The sequence below is a fragment of the Homo sapiens genome, chromosome 11, assembly GCF_000001405.40.
Source record: "Homo sapiens chromosome 11, GRCh38.p14 Primary Assembly".
Taxonomy (NCBI): domain Eukaryota; kingdom Metazoa; phylum Chordata; class Mammalia; order Primates; family Hominidae; genus Homo; species Homo sapiens.
In genome coordinates this window covers 65,637,919-65,653,370 of record NC_000011.10, presented here as the reverse complement: position 1 = coordinate 65,653,370, position 15,452 = coordinate 65,637,919, and the positions used below count along the sequence as shown (strand labels likewise).

At 60.8% G+C, this 15,452-nt stretch overlaps 1 protein-coding gene and 1 non-coding gene across 11 annotated transcripts, besides 5 other annotated features; both read right to left on the bottom strand.

Moving 5' to 3' along the window:
• Positions 31–80: an enhancer, noted in NCBI's record as "active region_4999". NCBI's record gives its function as "activates an Ori minimal core promoter by ATAC-STARR-seq in GM12878 lymphoblastoid cells {active_cell/tissue: GM12878}" and the evidence as "EXISTENCE:reporter gene assay evidence [ECO:0000049][PMID:35858748]".
• Positions 91–570: an enhancer, noted in NCBI's record as "active region_4998". NCBI's record gives its function as "activates an Ori minimal core promoter by ATAC-STARR-seq in GM12878 lymphoblastoid cells {active_cell/tissue: GM12878}" and the evidence as "EXISTENCE:reporter gene assay evidence [ECO:0000049][PMID:35858748]".
• Positions 631–870: a silencer, noted in NCBI's record as "silent region_3548". NCBI's record gives its function as "represses an Ori minimal core promoter by ATAC-STARR-seq in GM12878 lymphoblastoid cells {active_cell/tissue: GM12878}" and the evidence as "EXISTENCE:reporter gene assay evidence [ECO:0000049][PMID:35858748]".
• On the bottom strand, positions 2,459–15,270 carry SIPA1 (signal-induced proliferation-associated 1). Of its 10 annotated transcripts, none has more exons than XM_047427428.1 (16): positions 14,120–15,270; positions 11,771–12,540; positions 10,994–11,121; positions 10,732–10,908; positions 8,242–8,416; positions 7,414–7,517; positions 6,993–7,150; positions 6,306–6,915; positions 5,713–5,987; positions 3,891–4,109; positions 3,699–3,810; positions 3,506–3,614; positions 3,320–3,421; positions 3,179–3,233; positions 2,892–2,970; positions 2,459–2,802 (listed from the first exon to the last, which is right to left on the bottom strand). In XM_047427428.1, the coding sequence occupies exons 2-16, from the start codon at positions 12,447–12,449 to the stop codon at positions 2,656–2,658; spliced, it is 3,129 nt and encodes a 1,042-aa protein (XP_047283384.1). In that variant the 5' UTR covers positions 12,450–12,540; positions 14,120–15,270; the 3' UTR covers positions 2,459–2,655. The 10 variants fall into 10 exon arrangements, with proteins under 10 accessions (XP_047283384.1, XP_047283386.1, XP_047283385.1 ...); XM_047427430.1 differs by having other exon boundaries at positions 11,771–14,836; positions 14,951–15,270; XM_047427429.1 differs by having other exon boundaries at positions 14,951–15,270.
• Positions 4,118–4,179, bottom strand: MIR4489 (microRNA 4489). Its single transcript, NR_039709.1, has one exon. It is a non-coding gene; the product is annotated as a microRNA 4489 (primary transcript).
• Positions 14,638–14,707: an enhancer, noted in NCBI's record as "active region_4997". NCBI's record gives its function as "activates an Ori minimal core promoter by ATAC-STARR-seq in GM12878 lymphoblastoid cells {active_cell/tissue: GM12878}" and the evidence as "EXISTENCE:reporter gene assay evidence [ECO:0000049][PMID:35858748]".
• Positions 15,058–15,427: a silencer, noted in NCBI's record as "silent region_3547". NCBI's record gives its function as "represses an Ori minimal core promoter by ATAC-STARR-seq in GM12878 lymphoblastoid cells {active_cell/tissue: GM12878}" and the evidence as "EXISTENCE:reporter gene assay evidence [ECO:0000049][PMID:35858748]".

The window sequence follows — 15,452 nt, the reverse complement described above, 5'->3', positions numbered from 1 at the left end:
GAGCAGTTTCAGGAGTCTTCCAAGAGGCCCCATTAGCTCCAGGTCTTAGATCAGCTGAGAGTGGATGTCAAAGAGGGACTAGCCAGCGTCAGAGGTAAGAGAAACGATGTTCGAAAGATGTGATGGGGCCAAATTCCTTGGGTGGCCCAGGGAGTGTGTGCTTCTCTTGGGGAATGTGTGGTGCCAGGTAAAGATCTACCCGGCCCACCGATGCTTTGATACTCTGTTCTGGGAGGAACGGTGAAATCTTCAATCCACAGCCTCAGGAAGCCAAAACAAAGGCCCAGCCGCAGCCCACAAGGGCTACAGCTGGACGTACTTCCGCTTTGCCCCAGCGCAAGCGCAGCAGCAAAAAGCGCTGGCCGGCGTGGGCCCCCTTCTCGACTGCGCAGGCGCACAAGGAGCCCGCAGCAACCGGAGGCCGGGTCCAGCGTCTGGGGAAAATCCCCGCCGAGGCCGATGGCGTCTTCGTTTGGGCTTCGCACCGTCGCGGGAGGACAATAGCAGGGGAAAAGGAGTTATCGTCAGCGGGACGCGTCCCAAAATTCAGCGAGTCTCCTAGGAACAGAAAAGGCCCTGGGTGCAGGCTCCGACGGGCGGCGCCGGCGAGACGGCAGGCCAATTCCGTCGAGGAAGTGGCGTTTTCCACGGGGCTCCGGCTCCGGGGGGGCGGCCAGGGGCGGGGCTTGGAGCGAGGGCGGGCCTCGGCGGAACTCCCACGCGAGGGGCGGAGCCCGGGCTCGCGGTGGCCAGGTCAGGACCCGGGCGAAGCTGCCGGGGAGCGCCTGGGAGGCGGGGTCGGGGAGGAAGCGGGCGGGGTGAGAAGGCTCCTAACGCTGAGGAAGCCGACGGCTGAGCTGCGCAGGGACCCCGACCGGAGGTCCGCGACCCGAGGCCCAGAGGGAAACCAGGGAGCCAAGGCCCTGCAGCCCAGGCTGCGCCTCCCTCCTCTTGGCTTTCTCGGTCCCGCGACCTCCCGTGACCCACGAAGACCTCTCCTGGTTCTTCTCTCATTCGTGAATGACCCCATCATGCTCATGGCTCAGCAGCTCCAAGTCCTCGTATCCAACCCAGATCTCTCTCCCCTGCGCACCAGCCCCTGGACATCTCCACTCTGACGTCCTCGGGCCTCTCAAACTCATCCTGTTCCAAATGACCTCAGCCATCCCCAGCCTGCCTCTCCTTTTCCCTGTCAGCCCTGGCCCTGCCACCTTCCAAGGGCTCCAGCCGGAAACCTGGCCACTACCGTAGATGCCGCCTCTTCCCTTAGTAACTTGCGTCCAGTCCTTCCACGAGGTCCTGGAAAATCTGCCCACTTCTCCCCACTGTCACTGCTATCACTGAGTTTAAGTCACCACTAGACCTCCCACTGGACTGCGGCTACAGCCGCCTCCCTGCAGCCAAAGAGCTCTGACATCCAGATCTCACCCCATCAATCTCCCTTCAAACATCAACCACAAGACCAGATCCGAGTTTTCTGCAGACACACCCTCAGTGACCACAGCCTTCCACACTAGTCCACAACCAGGAAAAAGTGGCAGTCTTGGGAACTGCTAACCCAGGATCCCTAGTGCACCTTCACAACCCTTTCTGATCTGGCTTCTTTGACGCTGGGTTCCTGGGTGTGCCTTGGCTCTAGTCCAGCAGGCCTCAGCCAGACTGGTCCTACCAGGATACCTCTGACGTCTCTGCCTGGTGAACTCCTACCCAGCCTTCAAAACTCAGCCCTCATATTACCTCCTCCATGAAGCCTTCCTGATCCTCAGATGCTCTGTTTCTCCGAGCCTAGCTCATCCTGCCAGCACCTAAGTTAACAGACCCAGGGCCTAGGTCTCACCATGGAGCTTCAGCCAGCCTAGGGAAGGGACTGGAATAGGCATGAGATGCTGGGCAAGTCTGCCCTATCTGGGCCTCAGGTCCAGAAACCAAAGGATTTAGACAAAGTCCCAAGTTTGGACTTGATGATGCCACTTCGGGGAAAGGCCTGGCCTCGCGAGGAACAGAGAGGACCATAGGCTGGTGAGGAGGGAAGTGGGTCAAGGGCCCGTTTCCTCCAGGACATAGAAACAGCCCCAGTCAACTGAGGCGGAGATGCCACCGCCTCTGGAATTGGGCCCTGCAAGAAGTGGCCAGGTGGGTAGAGAGAGGACAAGGCCTGGGGGCTCAGTGGCTTCAGAGAGAAGAGTGAGGCCTGCACTGAGGCACAGGGCCTTGTGATGCACGGCCAGGGTAGCTGTGGGGTGTGGCCACCTGCTTCCCTGCAGAACCAAATAAACGTTATGGGAGAGAAGCCAAGCAGTGGCCTGGCCTCAGGGACCCCTCAGTGAGTGCCAGCCCATCTCTGAGCCAGTGTTCCCAGGGCCTGTCCTGACTGGTCCGAGGAGTTTGGCTGGGGCCTCTGGAGGCAAAACCCCTTGCCCTGCCCTGTCTTGGACACATGTTCAGACACAGACATCAGTGGCTTTTTTACTCCCTGAAGTCCTCTTTTCTCCACAGAATATTTACAAACAGGGAAGGGGTGGAGGCCACTTCCGCCACCAAATAAGGGGCTAGGGAGGGGGGCAGTGCTAAGACACGCCTCTGCGCAGGGAGAGTTCCTGAGGAGGGCCCAGTGTGACCACAGTGCCCTCAGGGGCCCAGGTGGTTCCAGACGGCTCAGGCCAGGTCGGCGGTGGGTGAGCCCAGCTGCTTGGAGGCCAGGAGGAGGCGTGTGGCTGCACTCTCAGACTCCGCCTGCAGCCGCCGGTTGTTGTGTCTCAGGCTCCGCACCTCCTCCTCCAGGGCCGCCCTGTCCGCCTTCTCCTGGGGTGCCGGGGAGACAGGAGTCAGAGCCGCCAGCCCCTTTCCTGGGGCAGCCCTGTGACTCCCCCCAAGCTCAGCCCACCCCTCACCTTCTGCAGGTCCTCCTGCAGCTTCCTGAGCATGGACTCCAAGTGAGAGACCTTCTCTGAGAGGTTCCCAGGCTCTGGCCTGAAGACATGGGGGTCAAGACTCAGCAGGACCAAGGCAGGGGGCAGTGCACCAGCTGACTCCCAGCCCCAGCTAATGAGAGGGGCCCCGCTGGTCTTCTAGGCATATGTGGCAGCAGAGCCCAGGACAGAGCTCCACCCCAGCAGACAGGCACGAAGGGGGGGTCATGTGGGCAGGTAAAGCGGCTGTGGGGAGTTGGGGAGCTTACTCAGCATCAGATTTTGGAGTTCCCTTAGGGTCTCCACTCTCTGGGATGGGCTGTCCTGTGGGGACAAAGGGATCAGGTGGGCAGGTCAGAAAGGGGGCAAGAGCACTGCCCAGGCTTACCGCAGCACCCTGGTGGCCTCACCCTCTCGGGACAGCGACTCCAGAATGGTGTTGCAAGTAGAGGCAATCTCCGAGATGGCCTGCCACTCGTCCTCCAGGGTCCCACTGCCCGCCTCCGACATGACTGTGGGCACAAGGAGCAGGCTGAGCTAGGGAAGCCCAGGAGCACCCCCCAACCCCTCCCCTGCTCTCCTGGGTCCAGACTCACTCCTGCTGATGGAGTTCCGCAGAGACAAGGTACGTGGCAGAAAGGAGGCCCTCAGCTCCGGCGCCGGGTTGCCCTTGTCCTCAGAGCCACTGGGACTGCCTGGCCTGTCCTGTGCCACAGAAGTGGATACAGATTCAGTGATGCCCACTGTCACCACTGTGCTGTTGGGCTCCAGAGCCTGGTTTCTGCTCACCTGGGTCAGGGGTGTCTCACTGTCAGCACTGGGTACTGATGGCTTGGCTGTGGTGGCCAGGAGGAGGTCCGGGGTGGTGTTGGGCAGGACTGGGGCCTCATCCGACAGAGAGCTGGGGAGAGCAGGGGTGGCTCAGAAAGGGAAGCCGCTTTCCCAGAGGCCTGGAGGAGAGGGAAGGCCAAGAGTGTGCACCTGCGTGGTGACAGCGAGTTCTGGCTGTGCAGGAACTCAGTCCTCTCCTCGGCCAGATCCCCAGGCCCTGGAGGACTGCCACCATCTTGCAGGCACAGGTGCAGCAGCTGCTTTGTGGTGGGCAGCAGGGTCACCCCCTGGACCTCATCCTGCACAGGATCTGGGGCCCCCCGCCGGCTAGGCTCCTGCAGCGACAGCGTGTACAGCTCCGAAAAACTCCTGTGGGGTGGGACAGGGTCAGGCAGGACTTCTCCAGTCCCCAGCGTCCTGCATCACTAGCCCCACCCCCAGCCCGCCAGGCTCACTTCCAGGAGCAGGAGAGCTCCCCGGCATCCTGACAACAGTGAAAAATGTCTGCCTGGTTACTGGCCATTTTTCCAGACCATGGTTCAAATTCCAGTGCTGCCCCTGTATATCCCAAGCAAATCACTCTGAACATCAATTTCTCCATCTGTGAAATGGGGATAATAGTACGAACCTCATAGTGTGCTGTGAGGATTTAAATAACACGTGTAAATTGCTTAAATCCCAAAACTACTGTCTGTAGCCAAATCCAGCCTGTGCCTTTTCCTTTTCTTTTCTAAAGCAGATGTGCCAGTTTCTGTACTGCGAGCTAAGCATGGATTTTACTTTTTTTTTTTTTTGAGATGGAGTTTTGCTCTTGTTGCCCAGGCTGGAGTGCAATGGCGCGATCACAGCTCATGGCAACCTCCTCCACCTCCTGGGTTCAAGTGATTTTCCTGCCTCAGCCTCCCAAGTAGCTGGGATTACAGATGCCTGCCATCACACCTGGCTAATTTTTGTATTTTTACTAGAGACGGGTTTCAGCATGTTGGCCAGGCTGGTCTCGAACTCCTGACCTCAGGTGAGCTACCCGCCTCAGCCTCCCAAAGTGCTGGGATTACAAGCATGAGCCACCGCGCCCGGTCCGGATTTTACATTTTTAACTAGTGGAAAAATCAAAAGAATATTTCATGATAAGTTAAAATCATGTAAAATCCAAATTTCAGTGTCTATAAAGTTTTAGCGAGACACAGGCACATTTATTTATTCATTTACCTACGACAGAGTAGCTGCGGCAGAGACCAGATGGTCCAGAAAGCCTAAAATATTTATTATTTGGCCATTTACAGAAAATGTTTGCCTACCCCTGGCTTAGCACAGGAAGTTATCAATAGTGTGTAGTGTGTGTGTTGGGTGGGCGGGTGCCAATACTTAAAAAAAAAGATAGTGGGGGCTGCTATTTGATCTTTTAAGCAGTGGGAGCAACGCGCTTAACTGGTCCCATTCTACATATGAAGATAGAGGTTCAGGGCGCGGTGACTCACGCCTGTAATCCCAGAACTTTGGGAGGGCGAGGCAGGTGGATCACCTGAGGTCAGGAGTTCGAGACCAGCCTGGCCAACTTGGTGAAACCCCATCTCTACTAAAAATAGAAAAAATTAACCGGCCGTGGTGGTGCATGCCTGTAATCCCAGCTACAAGGGAGGCTGAGGCAGGAGAACTGCTTGAACCTGGGAGGCGGATGTTGCAGTAAGCCGAAATCACGCCATTGCACTCCAGCCCGGGCAACAAGAGGGATACTTCGTCTCAAAAAAAAAAAAAAGAGAGAGGAGAGAGAGAGGAAGGAAGGACAGAGAAAGAGAGAGAGACAGAGACAGGAAGAGACAGGCTCAGACGGGCTAAGAGACGGGAGATTCTTTCCAGAAGGAAAGGTATCCACACTGGGTTCCTGAAACTGCTGATGGCGACCCGGGAGGCGCAGACTGCGCGGTGGCCAACTGCCGGCCCTCCCACCTCCCCGCGTCCCCGGCACCCTGACCTGCGGGGCCGGCCGCTCTCGTCGGGGGGCAGGACGGTGACGCAGACCTTGGGCGCCGAGCGCAGGAGCTGGGCAGCGGCCTCGGGCCGGAGGCTGGGCAGAGTCTGGCCGCACACGCGCAGGAGGCGCGCCCCGGGCCGCAGCCCCGCCGTCTCGGCGAATGTGAAGCGCTCCACGTGCGTGACGAATCCCTCGGCGTCCACCTCGAAGCCCAGGCGGCCTTGACCGTCGCGGGGCAGCGCCAGCTCGCGGGTCTCGCAGCCACGGCTCACCAGCTGCGGACGGGGCGGGACGAGTGGGCGGGGCTGCCGGGAGGTGGGGCCGCCCCAGCGCCCGCCCCCTGGACTGCGTCCCAGGCCACACGGAACTTTCCACAGTCCCCGAGGGCCGCGTGTGCCACCGCCCGAGGGATGAAGACCAGAAGTCGCTTACCCGAGGGCACCAGTTCCGGCCTTGCCAAGCCCCGGGGCTGGCTCTGCCCTCCTCGACTTTCCCTTCCGCAGGAGTAGGGGACAAAGGCGGCGGGAGGGAGGGGTCCAAAGCAGGCTCCGCCCCGCCGCGCGCAGGGGCCCCAGTTTACCACTCCAGCTCACCTGCAGGCGCGCCACCACCTCGCCCACGGCTTGGCCGGGGGACCCGTCGAAGCGCAGCGTGATCGCCTCCCCGCGGCCGTGGTACAGGTCCAGCTGCTGCTCGGAGAAGGTCCAGGCCAGCACGTCGCGACAGGCGCAATTGAACACTACGCGGCCGTCGCGCGGCGCCACCAGCACCAGAGCCTCGGCCGAGATGCCCAGCAGGCAGGGCACCTCGATGCCTTCGGGGCCGCTCGCCTGAGCCCCGGCGGCGACCCGCGCCCCGGGCGCCGCGCGCACTCCCCACACCAGTGAGCCCGCTGCCTGCAGCTCGGCGCCTGGGCCCCGAGGGGCCGCCCGGCGCCTCCCACCCAGGGAGGGCAGGCCGAAGCGTGAAGCCGAGTCCAGCGACGTAGTGGTCACCTCGTTGGTGGCCAGGTCTTGCAGGTACTGCTGGCGGGTGCGCGTGGCCATGGCGTGGAACTGGCGCGCGTGGCCGGCCGCCTGCTCACCATTCAGCGCTTTGGCCAGCAGGAAGGCCCGGAAGTCGGCGTTGGCTGCGAAGGGGCCTCCGCCAGCAGGCAGAGCTGGCCCGAAGGCAGGGGTGTCCTGGGTGCGGCTCACGGCCACCCTGCGGGGAGGGAGGCGTTAGTGAGGGGCGGCAGGACTCCATGCCCACGGGAGACCTGGGACCACTCCGGTGCCCACCTGTAGGTGGTGTGTGGCGTGCAGGGTGTGTGTGCCCGCACCACTAGGAACACGTGCTGGAAGTGCGAGCGGATGGTGGTGGGGCAGAAGGGCTTGCTGCCAGGCTCCTGGAACACGATGGTCACAATGTCGTTGCCAATGTGGCGCTTCCGGAGGAGCTAGGGGTTGGATAGTAGGGGCTCGTGATGAGGTCTTCTGTGCCCCAAACCCCTCCTCATTCAGGCAGGAGAAAGCCAAGGCACCAATGGCTCCCCCACTGCCCCTGGTGAAGACCTAGGGTGTTTCTGTCTTTGGGAAGGGGCCACCAGAGGGGCGGGCTGTTGGGGCCAACAGAGCTCCGGCCAAAGCTCAAACGTCATGGGCCATGCAGGGCCCTCCATGGTTCCCGGAAGCCCCACCCCCACGTTGGTCCCCCTCACACCTGCTGCTGGTTATTAGGGGTGTAAGGCAGCATCGTGGACACGTGGAACATGATCTCGTGGTCCTGGTATGTGGTGTAGAGGGAGTGCGTGCCTGTGGAATCCGCTGTGGCCAGGAAGTTAGGGACACAGAAGGAGAAAACAAGGGGAATCTAAGTGGCTTGAACTTGCCATTCCTGCCTGTACACAGGAGCCTCTGTGCCCCAAACAGCAGGTGGACAACCAGTCATGCCACCAGCCAATGCCCAGCCAGCGAGATTCAAGGGCCTCAGCCCTGGGTGCCCCTCCTCCTCTCCCTCCACAGGCTCCAGCCCCATGCCAGAGTGAAGGGGGGTCAGGATGGGAGAGTTGAAATAGAATGAAGACAGAAATGAGAAGTGGTCTCAGAGGGAGGGCAGGGTCAGGTGTCCTAGGAGGACAGGTGTCACTCCAGGCCCAAGCATGTGTGGCATGCTGGGAAAGTGAAAAGCAGGCAGGGGGTGCTCAGTACAACACCTCCCAGGGGTCCTGGGGCCCCTTCCACCAGGGAGGTAGGGGCACCTCTCTTCCACGAGGCTGAGCTGCTGGAATGTGTTTGGTGGAGGGGTAGTGCCCCCAAACCACTTTAGCCCCAGCTCAGGCAGTAGGGTACTTGGGCCTTGAGGGACAGTCCCAGCCCCTCTTTTCAGCCCATAGCTTGGCCCTCATAGCCCTGACTCAGATCCTTAGCTCACCCAAAGAACTCTCCAGTCCCCAGCCCCAGGATTGTACGGACAAAGGAGTGACAAGGCAATTTGTGCTCACCCCTTCAGCACAGATCTGCTCCCACCCCTCCTGCCCCTGGGCCTCACTTTTGGTGTCTAGCTGGGCCCGGTAACTCTCAAAGCCTTTGAGCCGCACCACATCGCCCAGCAAGGTGAGAAACTGCATGAAGGCCGGTCCCGCCTCCTGGTTGTTGTACATCTCCTCCTCCGAGCCCTGGCCCGCCCGGCAGTACAGGATGCCCACCTTGCGTTGGAAGCTCAGCTGTGGGTGGGAGACAGAAGGCATAGGTCTCAGTCCCCTGCAGCCCCACCCCACCAGCTCTTAGGGAATGGATGGGACGCTGGCCTGGGGCTGAGCACCAGCCCTCTCTGAGCCACTTGTGCCCTTGCCTGTCAGGTGAGTACAGTCTGTTGTGCTCCTCGTGCTTGGGAGTGCACAGGTAGGAAGGGATGGGAGGAGGCTGGTTCCCATGTGGCAGTAGAGAAGGTGATTCACAGAAAGGACCCTTCCAATAAACATACACATTATCATCCTCCTTATCTCAAGGCTGGACTGTCCTCTGCACCCCTGAATCCAAGGCACCCCCACCCCAGCCCCTGCAGGCCAGGCACCACCTCTGCCCCCCATGCTCCCATTTCTGTGCCCTCTTCCCGGCTCTTCCCTCTGCGGATAACTGGATAACCATGCCCAGCTCAAGGTGCTCTGAACTCCTCCAAACAGCACAGGCTCCCCTCCAGCGGTCACCTCCCTTTTCTACAACTAAACTTGTCTGCACTTACAGTCCCCACTTCGATTTCATTCCTCCCAACCCCCTGCACCCCCCACTCCCCATATGGTCCCCAGATGTGGCCTCATCCTGGTACCCTCTCAGCCATAGGTGGCACTGGGGATAGCTGGAAACTCACCTTGCCTAGGGCCCCAGGAACCCCGCCCTCTTCTGCCTGGGCCTCTTCTCCACCCATGCTCCTCCCCCTCCCTGGCTGCAGCAAGGATGACACCCCCATCTCCGCCTCCCATTCAGACCGGCCTACCAAACCCCGGGCCTTTTTCTCCGGCTGCCTAATGTCTCACCTTGCTGTGACTCCCCCACCCTGCTCCTCCTCCTTAAACCACCACTCCTGGGGGCCAAGAAGCTGGGAAATCCTAGCACTTCACCCCTTCCAGTCAGCCACATGACTACCCAGTCCTTCCTGGACTGTCACCTCCTCTTCACCTCCACTATCGCTGCCACTGTGTCTAGCCTGGGCAACTGCAATAGCCTTCAGCCTGGCATCCCCGCCCCGTACAGTCTAGTCCCCATGCTGCAGCCAGAGAGCTGCCCCTCTCAGATCTGCACCGTATCCCTCCATGGCTCCCCAGTGTCCACGGGAACAAATGCAAGCTTCTCCCCCGCCCCTCCCCACAATCCCAACCCCAGCCACGCTGAACTGACTGCCTAATGTGCCATGCTCTCATTCTCCAAGCCTTTGCACAAGTTATTCCTTCTGACCAGAAAACACCTGCTTATCCGGGCCTGAGCCCTTTTGTGTTCTCCATGCTGGAAAACCCTGGCCAAGGAAGGGCTCTCATCACTACCGTCGTGGCCCAGGCAGCCCTCAACATTCCCTTTCAGTGTTCCAGTACTGCTCCTGTGTTTCAGCAGTTCTCTGTGGGTCTCTTTCTCCCACCCAGCTGTGAGCTACTCAAGCAAAGCACCTGGTCTAGACCTGTCCCCAGCATCCAGTCTGAGGCCTGGCACCAAAAAGGTCTAAGAAATGTTTGTTGAATGACTGATGGGTTGAATGATACAGAGGAGAAGACTCAGCCAATGGGCAGCTTTCAGCATGGAGTGGGGGATGGAAGGAGCCGCTCCAGGAAGCTGTGAGCACCACATGTTAGAGGAAACCCAGCAGGGGCTGTGGGGGAAATTGGCCAGGAATGATGCGGGAACTGCAGGACCAGTGGGGTGAGTCAGACCAGGGCATCTAGGGCTGCAAATATCTTTTTAAAATGCAGACTCTGGGCCAAGGGCAGTGGCTCATGCCTGTAATCCCAGCACTTTGGGAGGCCGAGGTGGGCAGATCACAAGGTCAGGAGTTCAAAACCAGCGTGGCCAACATGGTAAAACCCCCATCTCTACTACAAATACAAAAATTAGCTGGGCGTGGTGGCATGCACCTGTAATCCCAGCTACTCAGGAGGCTGAGGCAGGAGAATCTCTTGAACCCGGAAGGCAGAGGTTGCAGTGAGCTGAGATTCCACCATTGCACTCCAGCCTGGGTGACAGAGCGAGACTCCATCTCAAAATAAATAAATAAATAAATAAATAAATAAAGTGCAAACTCTGATTCAGATGGTCTGGGGTGGGGCCCCAGAATCTGCATTTCTACATGATGTGGATACTGCTGGTCTACAGAGCTCACTTTGAGACGCAAGGCTCCAGATGAACTCTGATGCCCTGTCTCTGAAAAGCCAGCTCTTCTGGGGTCACCACCCAGCCCAGGATCAGGGTCAAGGCTAGGGGTTTGGGAGCTGGGCAGGCTGGGTTCAGACTGGGGCCAGCTGTATGGCTGGGGGCTCCGCGGCCCGCCACTCACCACTTGCTCATCCAGTGTGAGCAGCGTCCGTGGTACCTTGGGTGAAGCTGAGCCCAGGCGCAGGCAGCTGGGGCTCAGCTGCGGCGCCACGTGCTCCAGAAGTTTCCTTGGGGACAGACCCCGTGGGGGCCCCGGCGGCAGCGCGTCCTCCGAGATGGTGCCACGGAGTGTCCGGAGCTGAGGAAGGGGTGTAAGGGCACTCAGGATGCATACAAGGTGTCGGGGAGGCAACCCACGTCCTGATCCCGCGATCCCGGCCCACCTGCGTGGTCCGCACGATGACGCGGTAGCTGTGCAGGGTGCCCCCTCCGCTGCCCTCCTTCTCCTCCCGCCGCAGGCTCACTGCCACCGGGCCCAGCGACTCGTCCATCCCGAAGAAGTTCTGATGTTCTGGGGGACCGCGCCGAAGAAAACGATTGGTCCCGCCCTCTGGCAGCCCCGCCCCCGCTCGACCACGCGCATCACTAAGCCCCGCCCTAGGCTTCATCTCACCACCAAATGTTGACCCTAGACTAAGTCCCGCCCCTCTGTAGCCCCGAGCTCAATATCTTGATCTCAACCCTGACCCAGAGGTGGACCCAGACCCAGACCTAGACCCACGCGGCCAGCTCCCAGGCCTAAATCCTGCCTTGGCTCCACCCACCACGCCCTCATTCTCCCTTCTATGTCCTGGAGCCCTCTCTCCGCAGTGCTGGTGCGAACAAGGTTCACGGATGCAGGGATTTGAGGCCTGAGTTTTCACCCCACAGAAAAGCCCATAGGGAATCTCTCCCCAGCCTGGCAGGTTGAACCAGATGGAGGATGAACCAATACGGAGGCAGAGGGACCAGCCCTGGCTGGGGGTGAGGAGCCAGGGATTAGCCTTAAGAAGGTGGTTGAAAGTAGGTCCAGGAGGACCCCAGCTCAGCTCTTGAGCCCTCCCAGGGCCAGGGACTTTACAGGAAATGGACAGTTCATGAGCCCTACTGTGTGCACTGCAGGTGACAGGGACCTCTTCTTCAGCCCCCCTCCTCCACTCCCTGGAACTGCCTTTCCTCACCTTTGCCATAGAAGTATTTGCGGTAGTAGCCAGCACCCAGGTCTGCGTGCTCCAGGCTGTAGGCCGAGGTTCGGTTCTGTGGCTCCTCCAGGATGGACACGGCCGCGTTGGGCAGTGCAGGGGGCACAGGTGGGGATGCTGGTCCACCCAGGCCTAGCTCACCCTCACCCCCGAGCTCACACACAAAGCCAGGTGCCCCATGCAGCAGGTCCGAGCTGGCAGCCTGGTCCTCGGCTGAAGCCAGGGTCCCAGAGCTGGCCTCTGAGTGGCTCCCCATCCCCTGAGACCTCGGAGCCCAATCAAAGAGCAGGCTTTGCACGTCATAGTGGGCAAACCATCGAGGCTCAAGCACTGGTGGGAAGGCAGGCTCTGGTTCCTCTGCTGGCAGCCCCAGCAGTGCCAGCGGGTCAGTGAAGAGCCGGGTGGAAGTGGCTGCAGGTCGGCTGGCCTCTTCGTGGCTGTGGGCACGGGCACGGGGGCTGGCTGGCGTGGGGGGCCTGGCCTCGCCTGCATCGCTGCCGCTGCGCAGGAGTGGGCCCCGGACTGGCCTCGGCTCGAAGGTGTGCGGTGTCAGCGGGGGCCTTGCTGGCTGGCGCAGCTTGCGGGCAAAGAGGTCATCTGTGGACGCAGGGGCCATGCCCCGCCGAGGGCTCCCCACACCGCCGGCCCACATGGGCATGCTCTGTGGGCCTGACTCTCCGGGGGCTGGGCCGCATTGGCGGGCACGGGTGTTTGGTGCCCAGCCTGAGGTTGTGGCAGCAGTTCCTGCCCTGAAGGAGGAGGGGGCTGCTCAGAGGGGCCTGGGCAGAAAACAGGAACCCAGGCCCCCAGCCTGGTCCTCCACCACCCGTGTTGGCTTCCGGCCCCCTCCGAGACCATCAAAGCTGCTTCCGCTTTCCAGGCCACTTCCTTGTCTGCCTAGGGCTAAAGTTTCCAGCCCCCTCCCCAGCTTAGCTGGGCAAGGCTAGAGGCTGGGCTGTTGGGTCTTGGTCCTGAGGGTCCTGGAGCCTGGGCAGCCCTGGGACTGCCAGGGTCCCCCAGTCGCCACCCACACACCTTAGCTTTGGCCTGGGCCCAGAGTAAGGGTCCCACCAGGACCTAGCCCAACCGGACAGATGACTTGTATTGGCTGGGACGGGAAACCCAGGGGCCACTGGTGTCTGGGTCCTGCCCACTTAACAAAGGGAGGACGTCCTGTCCCCAGAGACCTTCCTCCTTGCCCCTCCCACTTCCTTCAGGGTCCCTGGAGAGCTGATCACCCAGAGAGGTCTGATCTCAGTGCCCTGGACCTCAAGGCCTCAATACCACAAGGACACATGGGTTCCCAGGGAGGCAGCGGCAGGGCAGCAGGAATGGCAAGAGGACTTCCTTCAGCACAGGAAGTAGCCCCAACTGTGGGCCCAGCCCTCTGCCAGGCCCCCACATCCTGAGGAAGGTGCTGGGGTCACAGCAGCTGTCATGGGACCCCAGTCACCCTGCCCTGAAGGACAGGCCAACTCACCTTCTTGCAGGCTACTGTGCCCAGGCTTGGGGGCAAGAGGAGTCACAATGACAGGGACCCATAGGGACCTCTGCCTACCTGGTCTCACTGATGCAGACAGGGAGGTCTGAACCCCATGTGACAGATGGTCAGATGAGGTCCAGAGGAGATGCTCTTGCCTGAAGCAATTCCGTGTCAGAGCTAGGATGTGAGCCTGGGTCTGCCCATCTCCAGGCCCTAAGCAGGGCTGCACCTGCCCACTGCTGTCTGTGTGCGTAGGTTTTGGGGGGTGGGTGTTGGGCTGAGGTTCAAGGTCTCACAGGATGCAAGATTGAGACACCCAAAGCCCCAGGGACCTGCTAAGTGCGGAAACGTGACGCCAGAGGCAGGTGCAAATGGTGGTGTGAGAACTTGAGGGAAGCCACACCCAGGCAAGCCCTGGATGGAGTAGGCAGTGAGGACAGGGAGCTGGGGAACCTCCACTGGGGGTACAGGCATCTAATGGTGGGTCTTCATGCAGCATCCAGCAACATCATGCGGGGCTGGGCCGGAGGGGGGTGGAGGAGGGGCTCCACACACCCTTCGTCTGGGGCCTCCAGAACCAAGCAAGAGTCGGCTCCCCAGCCCAGGTGCTTCTACCTTGATTTCTCCTGAATAAACTCCCATGCTGACCTTGAGCCTCTGTTTTCTCATCTCTAAAATGGGGTTAACTGGCCGGGTGCGGTGGCTGTGGCCTGTAATCCCAGCACTTTGGGAGGCCAAGGCGGGGGGATCACCTGAGGTCAGGAGTTCAAGACCAGCCTAGCTAACATGGTGAAACCCTGTCTCTACTAAAAACATAAAAATTAGCCGGGTGTGGTGGTGCGCACCTGTAGTCCCAGCCACTCAGGAGGCTGAGGCAGGAGAATCGCTTAAACCTGGGAGGCAGAGGTTGCAGTGAGCCGAGATCGCGCCACTGAACTCCAGCCTGCGGGACAGAGTGAGACTGTCTCCAAAAAAACAAAGAAAAAAATTGGGTTTAATTATTTCTGTCCCCTCCCAAGGCTGCTGAGAGACTGAGAAGAATGAGGTGAGTGTCGCTAGCTATGTGTGTGTGTGACGGGTGTAGCCCCTGGCTCCATGAGCCAAGCTCTGGGCACATTCAGCGCTCGGGCCTGGGCTATAGTGTGTGAAGGAGTAGGAGGGCATGAGGGAGGGGGTCTGTGCAAGCCCCGCTCCTTGTGGGCTGAGCTCTGCACGCTTGGAAGTGAGATCTGTGCATGTGTGCACCCAGCCTGTGCGCTGCCTCTTGCTGTGGCCCAGTGCCAGGCTCTGGCGCTGCCTTGAGGGGTGTTCTCGGGCTCTGCCCCCCACCCTGAAGCTTCACACAGGGTCCATTGAGGCTAGGACATTCCTCCGGGCCTGTGTCACTAGGGGTGGGGGGAAAGGGCCGGCCCCGCCCCCACAGATCCGGAAGGCCTGGCTGCCCCAGGAGGAGGAGCTGGCCACTTCCCAGCACATCTGGAGGTCATGACCCCATTTCGGCTGCCAGGGGGCGCGACAGATGTTTCCTCCCAGGCCAGGCCAGGGACTGGGGTGGAGGCCGCCTAAGAAGAAGAGGAGCCTCAGAATAAGGGGGAGCCCCGCACACACTTGCAGTGTTGAGGGGGAGGGGGTCACAGTGCCGCCACCAGGAGTCAGGAGCCGCCGCTTCCACTCACCGGCTGGCTGGCCAGGCTAAGCCGTCACACAGAGAGAGTAGGAACGGCTGGTCAGAGACAGGGGGCTGGACATATTGACTCGGGACTGAGCTGGAGCCCGGAGGGAAGTTGGGAGGGTGCTGGCGGCGAACGTGGCGAGGACCCCACTCCCATACACATCACCCGGGCCCACGGCTAGGCCACCTCTCCCCTGTCGGGCCCGACAGTAGTGCCTCCCGTCCCCTGCTCCCGCCAGTACCTCTGGGGCTCCCGCCCAGCCGCCGCCGCCCGCGCTGGGGTCCCGCTGCCGCTCTCCCGCTACCGCTCCCGGCGCCGGCTCCGCCTGGGGGCGGGGCCATGCTGGGAGGCGGGGCCATGCCGGGAGGCGGGGCCGGCCGGGAGCTGTCTGCGGCGGGAAGCGCAGCAGCGGGGATTCCAGGCCTGGCGGAGGTCAGCACCGAGCAGTGCTCATTCTAAGGCCATTTCCTCTCCTGAGAAACTTGTGCCTGCCTTCCAGACCAAC

Excerpts from the sequence above, each read along its gene's own strand:
- SIPA1 (XM_047427428.1), bottom strand. The coding sequence starts at position 12,449 with ATGCCCATGTGGGCCGGCGGTGTGGGGAGCCCTCGGCGGGGCATGGCC. Across the intron at positions 6,916-6,992 it reads ACGCCACACACCACCTACAG|GGTGGCCGTGAGCCGCACCC; the intron begins GTGGGCACCGGA and ends CCCTCCCCGCAG. Across the intron at positions 3,422-3,505 it reads GCGGAACTCCATCAGCAGGA|TCATGTCGGAGGCGGGCAGT; the intron begins GTGAGTCTGGAC and ends TTGTGCCCACAG.